The sequence below is a fragment of the Homo sapiens genome, chromosome 8 (assembly GCF_000001405.40).
Source record: "Homo sapiens chromosome 8, GRCh38.p14 Primary Assembly".
NCBI lineage: Eukaryota > Metazoa > Chordata > Mammalia > Primates > Hominidae > Homo > Homo sapiens.
Genome location: NC_000008.11, coordinates 40,820,266 through 40,834,446, shown reverse-complemented (window position 1 = coordinate 40,834,446; position 14,181 = coordinate 40,820,266). Strand labels below are relative to the sequence as shown.

Genomic DNA, 14,181 nt, shown 5'->3' with positions numbered 1-14,181 from the left:
CTGTGGGATTTGCATAGAATTTACAGTGAAAATCTGAAGCCTTGGGCTGGGCTGGTCAGCACCTGCTCTGCTCATGCCCCCTGGAGTCTACAATTCAGACTTGTCCAAGCAGACAAAGGACAAGGGATCAGAGAGGGGAGAGGTGGCAAAGAATCAGTTGCATGTGCCTGCCCTTGGAGGTTGGACCAGAGAACCGCCCTGCAGGCTGGGGCTGCCTTTGCTGCTCTGCTTCCCAGATGTCATCAGGCCAGCCTGTGCCATGTGAGACTGACAGCTCTGGTTCCACGGCCCGCGGCTGGGGTGAGGTGCATGTGCCCAGCAGTGGCCGATGCCTCTGAGTCAGGAATCAAAGAACCTGGTTTTATAAGTGAAGAAAATGGTGCCATTAAAAGGCAATTATTCAAGTGGTGTGAGTCAGCGATGCAGCTCCTGGCAACGCCAGGCAGGAGAAGGCAGTGGTGTGGGGAGTTTTCTCTCCCTCTGCCTCTCTCTCTTTTTAAACAAAGCTCAGGCTGGAAAGCAGAGCTTGCACCTGCATCTGGGTGATGTACGGTAAGCTACCTAGACTGCCAGATTCCTTTATCTGAGCAACATCAGGAATGGGAAAGACAGCCTCAAACCAGAAGAAAGATCCTTATCCTGAGGAACAGGGAATTGAAAAGGTCCTTCAAGCTGGCTGTGTACTTGACCTTCACCCTGCTCTCAGATGCTGCATGGGGGATTCTCCTGCCTGTCGACCCAGGTGGTGTGTGAATGAAAGAAAAGTGTGTGCTGGAGCCGGTGGTCCCGGGAGTGGGGGTCAGACGTCTTCCCCTGCGCTGCACCCTAGCTGCCTGCTGTTCCCTTTCTCTGGCATGATTTTATGGAAGACCATGATGATTTCATGTCTTTTTTTTTTTTTTTTTTGCTGGAGTGTAGTGGTATGATCTCGGTTCACTGCAACCTCTGCCTGCCGGGTTCAAGTGATTCTCCTGCCTCAGCCTCCAGAGTAGCTGGGATTACAGGCACGCACCACCACACCTGGCTAATTTTTGTATTTTTAATAGAGATGGGGTTTCACCATGTTGATCAGGCTGGTCTCGAACTCCTGACCTCATAATCTGCCCACCTCGGCCTCTCATAGTGCTGGGATTACAGGTGTGAGCCACCACGGCCAGCCAGATGATTTCATTTCTAGAGTACTTTTCTTGTTTCTGTTTTTTTTTCCCCTCTAAATCTGCTTTGCTGCCACGGCAACCAGCACTGCATTACCACCTTCACATGGAGAGAGGTGTGATGGGGACAGGACAGACCCTGCTTCCAGCCCATCCTCTGAGGCTCCTGCACTGGCAGGCATGGCAGAGATGATCACGAAAACCACCCGCTTGCCTCCTGAATCTTTTTCCCATTGTTGGTAGACAGCCTAGAGAGCAAAGAGTTTTTTCTTTCCACAGAAGGACAGTGGCAGGGGAAAGGGAGCAAATGTCAGGCAACAGCCACCAAAGTACCAAATATGGGTTTAAGGTTCAGGGAATAAAAACTCAAAATTATAACAAAAGGGCAAACCAAGTATGGAAACCAGTCAGCCCTCACTCCCATACTTCCCTCCCTTCTGAGCAGAGTCTTAGCCCCTCTCCTTTGTTTTAATAAATCAAAGTAGAAACAAGTTCAATTGCTTTTTTGAGAGGAATAATTTTAAAATTGGCTGAGTTTAAACAACAGCGGAAGGCCTCCTGTCTGTTTCACATTCATAACCAGGTCATAGTTCATCTTAATTGGTAGCATTTTTAGTCGGCTGTGGAGTTTGTCAAAATTGAAGGAGAGAAAAGTTCAGCCTCTCTGCCTTGGGTTCTGGGAGCTGGTGAGCTGGTCAGCACTGCCAAGGGCAGCTGGGCTCGGGGCCAGGCTGTTTGGTGGTGGCATGGGTGAGCAGGGGGCATCATCTGGTGGAAGGTCCCAGACTGGCTGGAGAAGGGCCAGCAGGACTCGGCAGAGGGCACAGCGGCTTTTCGAGGTGTCAGGCCACGTTGGAGGGCAGCAGTAGGTCATGGATCTACTGAGGGTGAGTAAGGTTGCAGAGGTGCAGAATTGTGGTTGTGCAGGCAGAAGCAGAACTAGAATGTCCAGGCAGATGTTAGCCCATCCCAGCTCAGTTCAGGCAAACACAGAAAAGAGAGTCTGAGCACTGAGGTCAGAAACAGCTTCCAAGGCTCTACCTGGACAGTCGAGGCTCTTCAGGCCCCAGCATATTAATTCTGCACTGAATGTCTGTCCTTGGCTTTCCTTTTATGAATTTTTATGGTGGTCGCGAGCTGGAGGTGGCAGGGGACAAACTGAAGGGCATGCCCAGTGCTGAGGACAGAGGCCCAGAGTAGGGGTGAAGGCCGTGGGCACAGGGGTCAGCCCTGGCTTGGAAAACTGAGCGCCCCTTAGGAGCTGAGTGACCTCTGGGTGAGTTACTTAATTGCTAACCCTGAGTCTTCTCATTTAGACAATGAAGCTGACAAGTCTACACAGCTCTTTGAGGGAATTAAATCGGATGATTTATATAAAGCCCTCAGCACAAGGCCTGGCTCAGGGGAAGTACTTCAGTGAAATCTTTATTCCTTCTGGGTCAGGAGCTCTCACAAGGGGCCAGGTCCTGTTGGGATCATTGTTAGAGTAGTCACAATGCCCGATACTGGAGAGCTTGCACAGTCACACGGAGTGGCAGTTTGGAAATTCAGAAATCCTACCTTAAAGGCAAGAGCTGCTCTTCAGTTGAAGTGTCCATGAGTCTTAAATTCTATCTTTAAAGGGCCAGTGAGGGATAGTATGGGTGGAAAGTAGGTTATTAGATCTTCTAGAGAAGCTTTGTAGGGAAATAGCCCAAATCTGTAACAGAAGGATGCTCACCTGGTGGGGAACACCAAGCCAAGAGCTTCTCTCCTCAAGGGACTGGGCTGGAGGAGATGCCACCCTGGGGCCCTGATGGCTGCGGCCGCCTGGGGACTGCCACGGTGAGTGCTGTGGGTTCTGTTTGCTGGAGTCCCTGGCCCTCTGCCATATTTTGAATGACATGCTTCTCCCTTTGCATCCCCCTGGGAAGCAGGTCATGGGAGGTGAGCACTTGTGGGAGGACGAGAGGGTAAGACAAAGTTCTCATCAAACTTCTCCGTCCGTCAGGGTCAGCACCTTGTGACAACAAAAATAGATTTTTAAATGTTTATGCAGTACGGGGTCTTCACAGGCCTGAGTTTCAGCTGGCAGGAGGAGTGGGCAGCTGCATTTCAGTGGAAACGAGCCATCTTTGTGGATGGTATTGTTGATACAAAAGAGAAAGACTATAATAGCAATAAAAGCTATGATTTCAATGCACCGACTATGTTATCTTCATGTGGTTCTATTTATTTCTCTTCTTAAATATTTACAGCATTCCTTTGAAAATAAGAATAACGATAATACAAAATTAATAATATTAATGGTAATGATGGTAATATCCCCTTTTTGCGTGTCTCTGCTATGCCACAGTCTGTGCTAGATGGTTTATCTACATTATTTCTAATCCTCACAATAACCCTGTGAGAATTTTCCTCCTATTTTACAACTAAGGAAACCAGGGCTCAGTGAGGCTGTGTAAGTTGCTGAACAACCTAGTTGGCAAGCAACCACACCTGGATTTGAACCAATGTCTTTCCCTCTGAAGAGCCCTGCATGGGTTTTGGGCTCTCTGAGTCAGAAGTTATTTCAGCACCATCAGAAATGGAATGGAATGAAGAATATTAATCTTTTTAACATAATGCTTTTGTTTCCTCCACACAGATACCCCAAAAGACACCTGCACTTACATGTTCATTGCAGCACTATTTACAATAGCAAAGTCATGCAGCTAACTTAAGTGTCCACCAATGGTTGATTGGATAAAGAAAATCTGGTACATATATACCATGGAATACCACACAACCACAAAAAGAATGAAATAGTGTCCTTTGCAGCAATAAGGGTAGAGGTAGAGGACACCATTTTAAGTGAACTAACTCAGAAGCAGAAAATCAAATATTGCATGCTCTCACTTATAAGTGGGAGCTAAACAATGGGTACACGTAGACATAAAGGTGGAGAGAAGGACACTGGGGGCTCCAAAAGCGGGAAAGAGTGGAAGAGGGGGTGAGGGTTATACCATTACCTAGTGGGTATAATGTTTAATATTTGAAGGATAGCTGTACTGTCCCCACCATTATGCAGTATACATATGTAACAAACAAGCACCTGTACCCCCTGAACCTAAAATAAAAATTTAAAAAGAATATGACTCTTTTCCATGAAGCCCCAGGTCTCTCTGGAATTTTAGCCTGCATTCATTCCTTCAATCTGTTCTTGAGAAGCAGAAAGAAGCAGAAAGGAAGGTTTCATATCTGCCTCTGAGGATCCTGAAAAAGGCCATTTCTTGCGCCTTAAGAAACATTTCGGGACCTGGCTCTTCTCCCCCAGCCTCTTTTTCTTCCATCTAGGTTTTGAGATTCTCTTCCTTGCATTTTTCTGCCTTCCCCCTTATGTTAAATTATTCCAAATTAACCCCACCTATGCCCCTCCTATTATCTTCTCATGCTTAGTGGTAGTAAGATTTTTCTCTGTGCCAGGGAAAAGAATTAGCTTCTGAGTTGGAACTCATTTCTCTCCACTCTAATCCTATCCATCCTCAAATTTTCAACCCTAGTAGAACTTTCTTGAAGAGATTCTTGATAATCCTTTCTGTCTTCTCAAATCCTATATCACTTTCCATCCCCCAAGTTCTGTTGGAATTAGTTGCCTGTGCCTTAGGTGTTGGTGTGTGTATGTCTCTTCTTACTCAGTAGCTCAGCAAGATTTGGAAGACAGGGGTTGTGCCTCTGTTATCCCTGAGCCTCACTCATGCTAGATTTCCCCAAACCATTATAGAATCAATAAAAGCACTCCTCCTTGATGCTTCCTTTATTCCTGATACCTAGATGCACCTCTGAGCCTCACACCATCACTGCTATACACATGGATCTGTAGGAACTCAGACCCCCGGACAGCACGTGAAAATGTGACCAGACTCCCTGCTCTAGTACTGCGTCCACATCGGGTGGAGGCCTCTTACCTCCATTGCAGATAGTGCCAACCTCTGTGAGTACTGGAGAGTGATGAGAGGTCATTTAGATCCTCCAGTGGTTGCTTGGCAATGTGCCTGCCTTTGCAATGTGCCTTTGCAATGTGCTGGGCCTGGGAGTACAGATGGTGCTTTCTTTCAGATCTGTTTCAGACCCAGGAAATCAAATTCCTGTCTTCCCCTACTCTTGTATCCCTCCTCAGAATGTCCCAAGGCCTCATGGCACAGCACAATACGAATGTTTCCAGGGGGAGGTCACTAGACACTGGATCTGATGGGACAGATTGGACTGACCAGTAAGTGATCAGTGGCTCTGTCTCTACTCCAGTTGCTGGAGTAGCGCGTGGGCTCCTCAGGACCATGGACAAGGCTAAAAAACTGGAAATTTTTTTTTTTTTTCCTTTTTCTTACCAGCTGTCTTGGTGAAGACAGTGAAGGCCAGTGAAGCTAAAATCCTCTTCTAAACAAACCAGGGGAGGGGAGCAAGTGACATCCTCCCTTCTTGGGAATTCCAGTCTCTGCATGATAAATCGGACCCTCTGGTTGTCTAAAGTGACCTACATGGACTGCGCTCTCTTTTTCTGGAGGGAAAGCCCTCATGTACAAAACAGGCTGACACTTGTCCACTAATTGCCTCCCACTGGAATGTGACTTGTTCAGATATTCCACTCAGGTGTCATCGATTTCAGAGGGGTCCTTATTGCCTTTTAAAAAATTGCATATGGACTTGTTCAAATCAATATTCTTATATAAAACAGTGGAAAAAGCCAAGATATTTTCTCTTCCCTTGAATTTTTTTTAGTATACACATTTTATATTCTGCCTTTAAAGCTATTTCTGTTGCACAGCTGCTTTACCGAGACTCAGACTCCTACGGGCCTGCTTGGTCCGACACGTACCTTGAATATCCTTTCACAGTGTTTGATTTTTGCAGTTGGTTGTATAATGAGGAAGGAGTGTGCAGTGAGTTTGGAGATTCCTATTAACCAGGTCATCCGTGAATCTATTTTTGTGTGCTTCTTCATTAGAAATAGCAGGGAACATGATAATATTTAAACACAACCACTTATAGGAGCTTGGCTTAAAAAATATACCTTAGTAAGTTTTCTTTTCCCATTAGACATTTCAAAATGTTGTACTCCAGTTCTTCATCATCAAAACATCTTTTCTTCATTTACATTCTGGGACATGAATGGAGACCATTACAAATGACTATGATATTGTGGGTTGGCACTGGAATTGGCAATCCTTTGCCTCATGTAGACCATCTCCGGAGTGCCCGCATTCTGTTCTTGGTCTTGCTTTTGAAGATGGACTATAATGAAATAGACTCAGGGCAAGATGATGAGGCTGGGTAGGACTTGGAAGTAGATAGAAGAGTGTTATCTTCAGACACTCAAGGGAGGATATCTCATGAAAAAATGGAGACTGGTGTGGTGCCATGTTGTACCTAATGACAGAATCACTGAATGAAAACTACGGTGGGACAGATTTTAATTCAACCTAAGAAAAACTTAACAACTAGAGCTTCTGCCCTCTCTGGAACAGGTTGCCTTGTGGGGGAGGAGGTGAACCTGCAGGCACAGCAGGTGCTAGACTCCAGGCCAATTGGGCCACCTGCCAGGTGTGGTCCTTTTTGAAATAACAGGCCCATATCAACCATGAGACACAGTGGTACCTGGCATAACTATTGCTTGCTGGGGGCATTGAAAAACCACAGGCATTATTGTCTCTTAGGAGCAGAAACTGTGAATCCTTTTGAATTGCTGAAGACAAATGCCCTGAATGAGCCACTAGAGCCAGGGCCAAGGACAGAACGTGAGATTGGAGTACTTGAGGCAGACATCCTTTTATTTCAGGCAGATACTTTATGAATGTGGTCTGGTTATTTAGATCATTTCAAAAATCACCTAAAGTGAACCACAGTTCACTTTACTTTACACAGTTCACTGTTGCATTGTTCAGGACTTGGCCAACATCTTGCCAACATCAGGATGTTATTAAAAATATACTACTGATCCCTTTCAAATGCAGAGAGTTTTACGGTTGATATAGCACTTTCTCATATATTTCTCCCTGTGATCTTCACTATCACTTTCTTAGAAGGCATGGTAAATATTATTATCTCAATTTTTATATGGGGGAAACTGAGGTATGGAGCATTGAGTGACTCATCCAATGCCATGTGGTAGCATCAGACCTAGGATGGATCTAGCTTGTGGAAATTGGAATCATGCAAGCGAGGCCATATTTTTGGCTATGCAAATGACTAGCAATGTAACTTTGGACTGTCTTATAGGTAAGATGATGGTGGTGAAATAAGATAAAGTCCAAAGTGCCTACCATATTGCTGTTGTCTGAGATTCTTTTGCCTCTTCATACAGCATGCTGTCTGCCATGGTCTTTACTTCTTGCTTGACGGGTAGGAGGTGAAACAAGTGGAGTTTGTGGGCTGGGTGAAGGAATCGGATGCACTGGGGTGTGTTTCCAGGGTGGTAACATGAGATCCTTCAGCTGCCATAAGATCCGTTTCCGACAGATCGCTTTCAGAAGCTTGAGATCCTTGGCTGCATTTTGATTCCGGGTTTGGAATTTGAGAATATGTTTATTTACTTTGTGGGATCATTTGTGGTGTGCGGTGGTGGAGGTGGCCTTTATGAATTCAACCACCCTAAATGGAGAAGAGTCAGCTTGAATAGTGAGGTCTCCCCGTGTTGCAAAGTATGGGGTTACAAGGAAAGTTATAGTTTAGTCTGATTGTATTTTTTAATTTTCTAAGTGCAACTATTTAACTCTAAACTAGATTTTATACCGCTTAAAGGCTCTAGACAAAGCTAACTTCTTCCTTGACTACAAAAGTAATATGTGATTGTTGAAGAAAAATTTAAAAATGAAGAAAATTGCAAAAGCAATTTTCTGTCATTTCCCAAAGATAAGTGCTATTAAAATTATGTTATAATTTCCTGGAATGTTTTTTAATGCATCTATACATATTTTAAAACAAATTTTGTATAATGCTATATGTACTTAAAAATCTCTTTTGTTAATGGTAAACCTTTTCCTAATGTTCCCTGAAAGAATAATTTATCTGAATTTGGATTTGGAAGCCACATAGTTTTCTAGTGTGATGATATATCAAAGTTCATTTAACCCACTTTCTATTGTTGGATATATTAGGTGCTTACAACATTTAATTAACATATAAATATATATAACATGCAAAAATATCTCACATAAATCCTTTTTAAGAATTTTTAGTTTTGTAGAGACAGAATCTCTCTATGTTGCCCATGCTGGTCTCAAACTCTTGGCCTCAAGTGATGCTCCCACCTCGGCCTCCCAAAACACTGGGACTACAGGCGTGAGCCACGGTGCCCTGCCCTCACATAAACTCTTGACAAGGCATTAGATATAAGTCTGGCTTGTTCAACAGAAAAACTATAGCTGGATTTCTATTTTTTAGGGTAAAGCAACTCTGTTGGGCATTTGTGAGAAAACTATAACCTATGCACATATTATGGTTAATCGATATGATAACGTCAAGAGTGTAGGGAGATCCACCCCTCTGTCACCATTGTCAGACCTGTTACTGTGATCCTGGCTTTTCATACGGTTAATATCTTGCATAAACATCAAAGCAGTGGACTCATTTTTCTTTTCTGTTGATTCTCTTGTAGCCTGATGAAGTCCTCCGATATTGATCAGGATTTATTCACAGACAGTTACTGCAAGGTGTGCAGTGCACAGCTGATCTCCGAATCGCAGCGTGTGGCCCACTACGAGGTAAGGACAGCGTTTCCCACTCTGTTTGCAAATGTAGGAGGGAGCAGCCCGGGTCATTGTTGTAGGACTCCAGGATCCTCCTTCTGGACTTGGGGCACATTTGAAGAACCACAGGACTTGAGCCTGTACAGTCTGAGGTCAAGGCCAGGACAAGTGTATATGTGTGGGGTTGGGAGTGAGGGTTGGGGATGTCATTGTCAGACTCTGGCTGCTTCCCAGATCCTTTTTTTAAAATTTGTATCTCAGCCCCTGGAGACTCTGCTTGGGCTTTCTCTACTTGTTAAATCTGTCACTGTGCATCCACAAAGTTCCTTTCAGGGATCCAGGGTGCAATGCATTGTGCCAGCTCCTGTCTCCACCTATGACCCCAAAGATAAGCTCAGAAGACCTTTGTTAAACACTGTAGGGAAAGACAGCAGCAAGTAATGAAGCAGCCGTGGGCCACTTCCTCCCTGAAAATTTCTTCCACCTGATGGCCAATACCCAACATGTGCTTATCACAATCAAGATGCCTTCTGCAGAGTTATAACCAAGTCTTAAAGTGCAAATACTCTTCAAAGTCATAAATTAGTGGCACTGGCTGTTTAGAATCGGGGAGCAACAGACCACTTTTTGATCCTCTATTGGGAGCAGAGGATGAGAGGAGAGAGGTTGGCCTGTGTCCGAGGATGAGGAAGAAATGAGGTGCTGTGGATTGAGTAAAGAGAACTGGGAGATCCCAGGATGCTGAGAGCTACTAGGGCATGTTCTGTTTTCAAAAGAACATATACTAGTAGGAACATGAATTTCTTTATTTTCTTTCTTTCTTTTCTTTCTTTCTTTTTTTCTTTTCTTTCTTTCTTCTTTCTTTCTTTCTTTCATTCTTTCTTTTCTTTCTTTCTTTATTTTTCTTTGCTTTCTTTCTTTCCTTTCCTTCCCTTCCTTCCTTCCCTTCTTCCTTTCTTTTTTTCTTCCTTTCTTTCTTTCTGAGATAGCGTCTCACTCAGTCATCCAGGCTGGAGTGCTGCGGCATCCCAAGATGCTGAGAGCTACTAGGGCATGTTCTGCTTTCAAAAGAACATATACTAGTAGGAACATGAATTTCTTTCTTTTCTTTTCTTTCTTACTTTCTTTCTTTCTTCTTTCTTTTTGAGACAGGGTCTCACTCAGTCATCCAGGCTGGAGTGCTGTGGCACGAGCATAGCTCACTGCAGCCTCCACCTCCTGGGCTCAAGCGATCCTCCCACCTCAGCCTCCTGAGCAGCTGGGACTACAGGCACATGCCACTGCACTCAGCTAATTTTTTACTTTTATTTTTAGTAGAGACTGGGTCTTGCTAAGAACATGAGTTTCCAAGTGTAAGAACTTGTAAGTAATTTTATATTGGAAGGCTTATCCAGCAATTTTCTTTTTGTCTGACAAGTCTGACAAATGCCAGTTGTCACTATCATTCCTCAAACTCCTCTGGGCCTCAGATTCCTCTGTGCACAATAAAAATAACTATAATAACACACACACATACGCACCCAGAAAGACAGTCAATGGGCCCTGCATACTCCTCAGGATTTTGTGGTGACCAAATGAGATCTATCGAAATTGTACCTGTGAAAATGCTTTGGAAGCTGTGAAGTCTATCAAATATGCAAAGTTATATGCTTATTCATCATTAATTCCTTTGCAGCAATGTTTTGATGAAAGCAAATGTTTGATGAAAACTTTTAAAATCAGCACCTGTGAAAAAATTCGTATAGTCATTGTTAAAAGGCAACCAAGTGTTAGAAATCAATTTGAGCTTTAAAGAATTATCTAAAAAAGTCCATCGTTTGAAATTAAGGACTTCCAAATTTCTGTGGCTATGGCTTCATAAACACACACGCACACACACACACGTGTGTGTGTGTGTATATGTATATGTGTATATATATGTATATTTGTGTGTGATGGAGTCTCACTCTGTCACCCAGGCTGGAGTGTGGTGGCACGATCTCAGCTCACTGCAACCTCCTCCTCTAGGGTTCAAGTGATTCTCCTGCCTCAGCCTCCCCAGTAGCTGGGACTACAGGCGCGTGACACCACACCTGGCTAATTTTTTTGTATTTTTAGTAGAGACAGGGTTTTACCGTGTTAGCCAGGATGGTCTCGATCTCCTGACCTCATTATCTGCTCACCTTGGCCTCCCAAAGTGCTGAGGTTATAGGTGCGAGCCACCGTGTCCGGCCAGATTTTTTTATTAGTATGTTTTCCCCAGTTAAGGAAATGGGGGAATTTGTCCCTGCTCTGAAATTCCATAGCCTCCCATTAGTACTTTATGTTCTTCCTTTATTAGACTTTTTGTGTTCATTTGTAATCATCTTACTAGATTCATGAGGACAGAAACAGAGTTTTATTCATTTGATCTTTCGTAATTGCTGGAATAGTGCCTGCCCATGACAGGTGTTCAGTGAGGGTTCGTGGAGGGGGTGGGTGTGTGAAAAAACTGCACTGGTGACCCTGCCCCACACTGCCTGACTAGAAAAGTAACGTCAGAACATTGAAAACAATGAAAAATTGTTTAAAGGAAGAAAAAAATTCAGCTGCTCAATGAAGTGTTTAGTTATTTGATTGCATATTTTGCACGTTTTCCTGTTAACATACTGTACCCTCGCTGTTGCACAATCTAATTGTTTAGAGAATGTGTTAGTGTTTGTTGGATGTAGCTAGATGACATAGAGAAAATAAAGCAATTACAACAGATCTGCAATTAACAGTGTTACACATCATCGAGATAACATTAAATGCATTCCCATTAATTGTGGATGGGAACTCTGAATGATATTTCCCTCCCTTCTTCCAGGCAGAGGTAAGGCCCTTCCTACAGTGAGAAAGAGCTGTGCATTCTTGCCGCAAAGCTGCTGAGCATGTGAAAAGGGCACAGTCAGGACTGAGGATACCTTATATCAATTTCCGGCCTCCCCAGCTTTGGTTGAGGTTTCTCCAGCACTTTCTTTTTCTCTAAGAAGATGGCTTGCATCAGATGATCTCTAAGGCCATTTGAAAACTGATATTCTGTTTCTATCAATCTGCCTCTTCTCTCCAGAGACACCTTCCCTGCTGCAGTGACTTATGGAGTGGGTCTCTAGGAGATCGAAATTCCATTCAATTCATTGAAATTGCTGTCACACTTAGTCTCCATGCCCTATTACTGATTTATTGTTTTAGTATGATTTCATTTTTCAGTTCAACCTGATAGTTTTCTCAGCTTCCTTATGGGGCAAATCAGTGAGAATCCACTGCGTATTTTCTGTATATCCAGCAATATTAGAGTTAGTTATTGCAGGGGATTCTGAACCTATATGAGAAATGATCCTTGTCCCTGAGAAGCTCATAAACTTCATCGAGAGAAAAAGTCACCGATAGTTCAGTGTGGCAAAAATACCTGTATGATTCCAAGCACATGATCTGTAGAATTCTGCTGTCTGCTTTTAAGGAGCTACTGACGGAATTTGATACAAAGAAAGTGTTAGTTCTTTTGCCCACTTGGCGTCCTGTTGTACATTACATCGTGCTGTTAACTTCGTAGATATTTGCATATTACACTTTAAAAGAGGGAAGCATCATTTAGAGCTATTATGGCCAAGAAAGACTTGTTGGAGAATGTCATGATTTATCCATGCCTCCACAAATGGGTTAAGTTTAGGGGCGAGTGGAATGAGAAAAATCTTGGTATCTATCTTTAAGGAGTATTGAGAGGGCTACCCTGGCATCATTGTGTTAGGAAAGGATGGGGTCAGGATATCAAGGAAAGAAGAGTTTGGAATCTGTGAGGCTCTTAAGCATTTGGCAGCATAACTCTATAACTGAATATTTCTAAATGATAGATAGTTGGTGGTGGTCAGGGCATATTGTTGGGGAAGAGAATGGCTTTTGGTATGACTTTTGCTGTGAGACGAGTGTGTTAATCTTCCAAAGTAGGAGAGCAAAACAAAACAGATGGGTTAATGCCTAATAGCTGCACACCCCATTTAAAAGGCTGAACCTTTGCACGAGAGGACAGAAAAACCTAATATATGTCTAACCAACCAAACCTTTACATGCTATGCTTTAAAAATCTATTTTTGCATATGAAGTCCTCAGGTGAAAAAAAATAGGGAACATAGAGGCATTTTTATTTTTCTTGCTAAGCGTTAAGAACACATTAACATTTCAGTAGGAAATATAATTAGATGTTGTCTCTATTCACTGGACGAATAGTCTGAGTCAACAGAACAAGTAGACACAGACACAGAAGGAAGAGAAAGCTTTCAAAGGAAAGGGCCTAAGCGTTACGGGGGTAAAAAAACAGTTTCCCAGGGAGGCCATTTGTGTGGTTTGCTGCAGTTTCAAGTGGCTAAAGAATAATTTCCTGCAAAGGGAAAGAGTTGCTTGTATGAATGAAGGAGTGGTTTTCTGCAACGTAGGAAAAAGAAAAAAGTACAGGGCAGAAAGATGATATATGTGTGTGTACACACATACACACTCCCCCCATACACATACACACACACCCATCCCCAAACCACCAACACACACACACCCACACATACATACACATACACACGCACCCATAAACACATATACACATACACACACATAAACACACATACACATACACACATACACACAGACACACACATATATGCCCCCCACTTCCTACACACACCCACACACATACACACAAACACACACATAAACACATACACATGCACACATAAACACACAAACACACATAAACATACACACATACACACATAAACATACACATACACACACCCACACATATATACACACACAGACACACCCATAAACACATATACACATGCATATGCACAAATGCACACATAAACATACACAGACATACACACGTACCCATACACACATAAACATATACATAGACACACACACATAGACACACATACACGTAAACACACACATGCCCGAGACACTCCCACACACATACACACACATACACACACATGCACTCCCACATACAGATACACACATAAACACCAAAACACACTCACACACATACACACACAAATGCACACATAAACACATGCATATACACACCAATACACACATACACACATATACACACATACACATAAACACACATACACCCCCAGACACCCCACACACAAATACACACATAAGCACACACTATACACACACTTTCACACACATACACACAAACACCTCTACACACCCACACACGTAGACACACACAAACACACACATAAACACACACATACACATATACACACATAAAGACCCACACCCGCACACACATACACACATAAATACACATCTACAGACAC

At 43.2% G+C, this 14,181-nt stretch overlaps 1 protein-coding gene across 6 annotated transcripts in view, besides 1 other annotated feature; it reads left to right on the top strand.

Annotated features, from left to right (window-relative positions):
• ZMAT4 (zinc finger matrin-type 4) overlaps positions 1-14,181 on the top strand; it is a 367,237-nt gene that overhangs the window by 63,380 nt on the left and 289,676 nt on the right. For 3 of the 6 annotated variants that reach the window (NM_001135731.2, NM_024645.3, XM_017013836.3), the window contains exon 2: positions 8,767-8,872. In NM_001135731.2, coding sequence (NP_001129203.1) covers positions 8,771-8,872 — 102 coding nt within the window. In that variant the 5' untranslated portion in view covers positions 8,767-8,770. Of the gene's footprint in view, positions 1-8,766; positions 8,873-14,181 lie in introns of those variants that run through there. The other 3 variants (XM_047422236.1, XM_024447275.2, XM_047422237.1) reach the window with 2 other exon arrangements.
• Positions 262-762: an enhancer, noted in NCBI's record as "H3K4me1 hESC enhancer chr8:40691204-40691704 (GRCh37/hg19 assembly coordinates)". NCBI's record gives its function as "activates a minimal SCP1, AML or CMV promoter by ChIP-STARR-seq in primed H9 embryonic stem cells {active_cell/tissue: H9 hESC(primed)}" and the evidence as "EXISTENCE:reporter gene assay evidence [ECO:0000049][PMID:30033119]".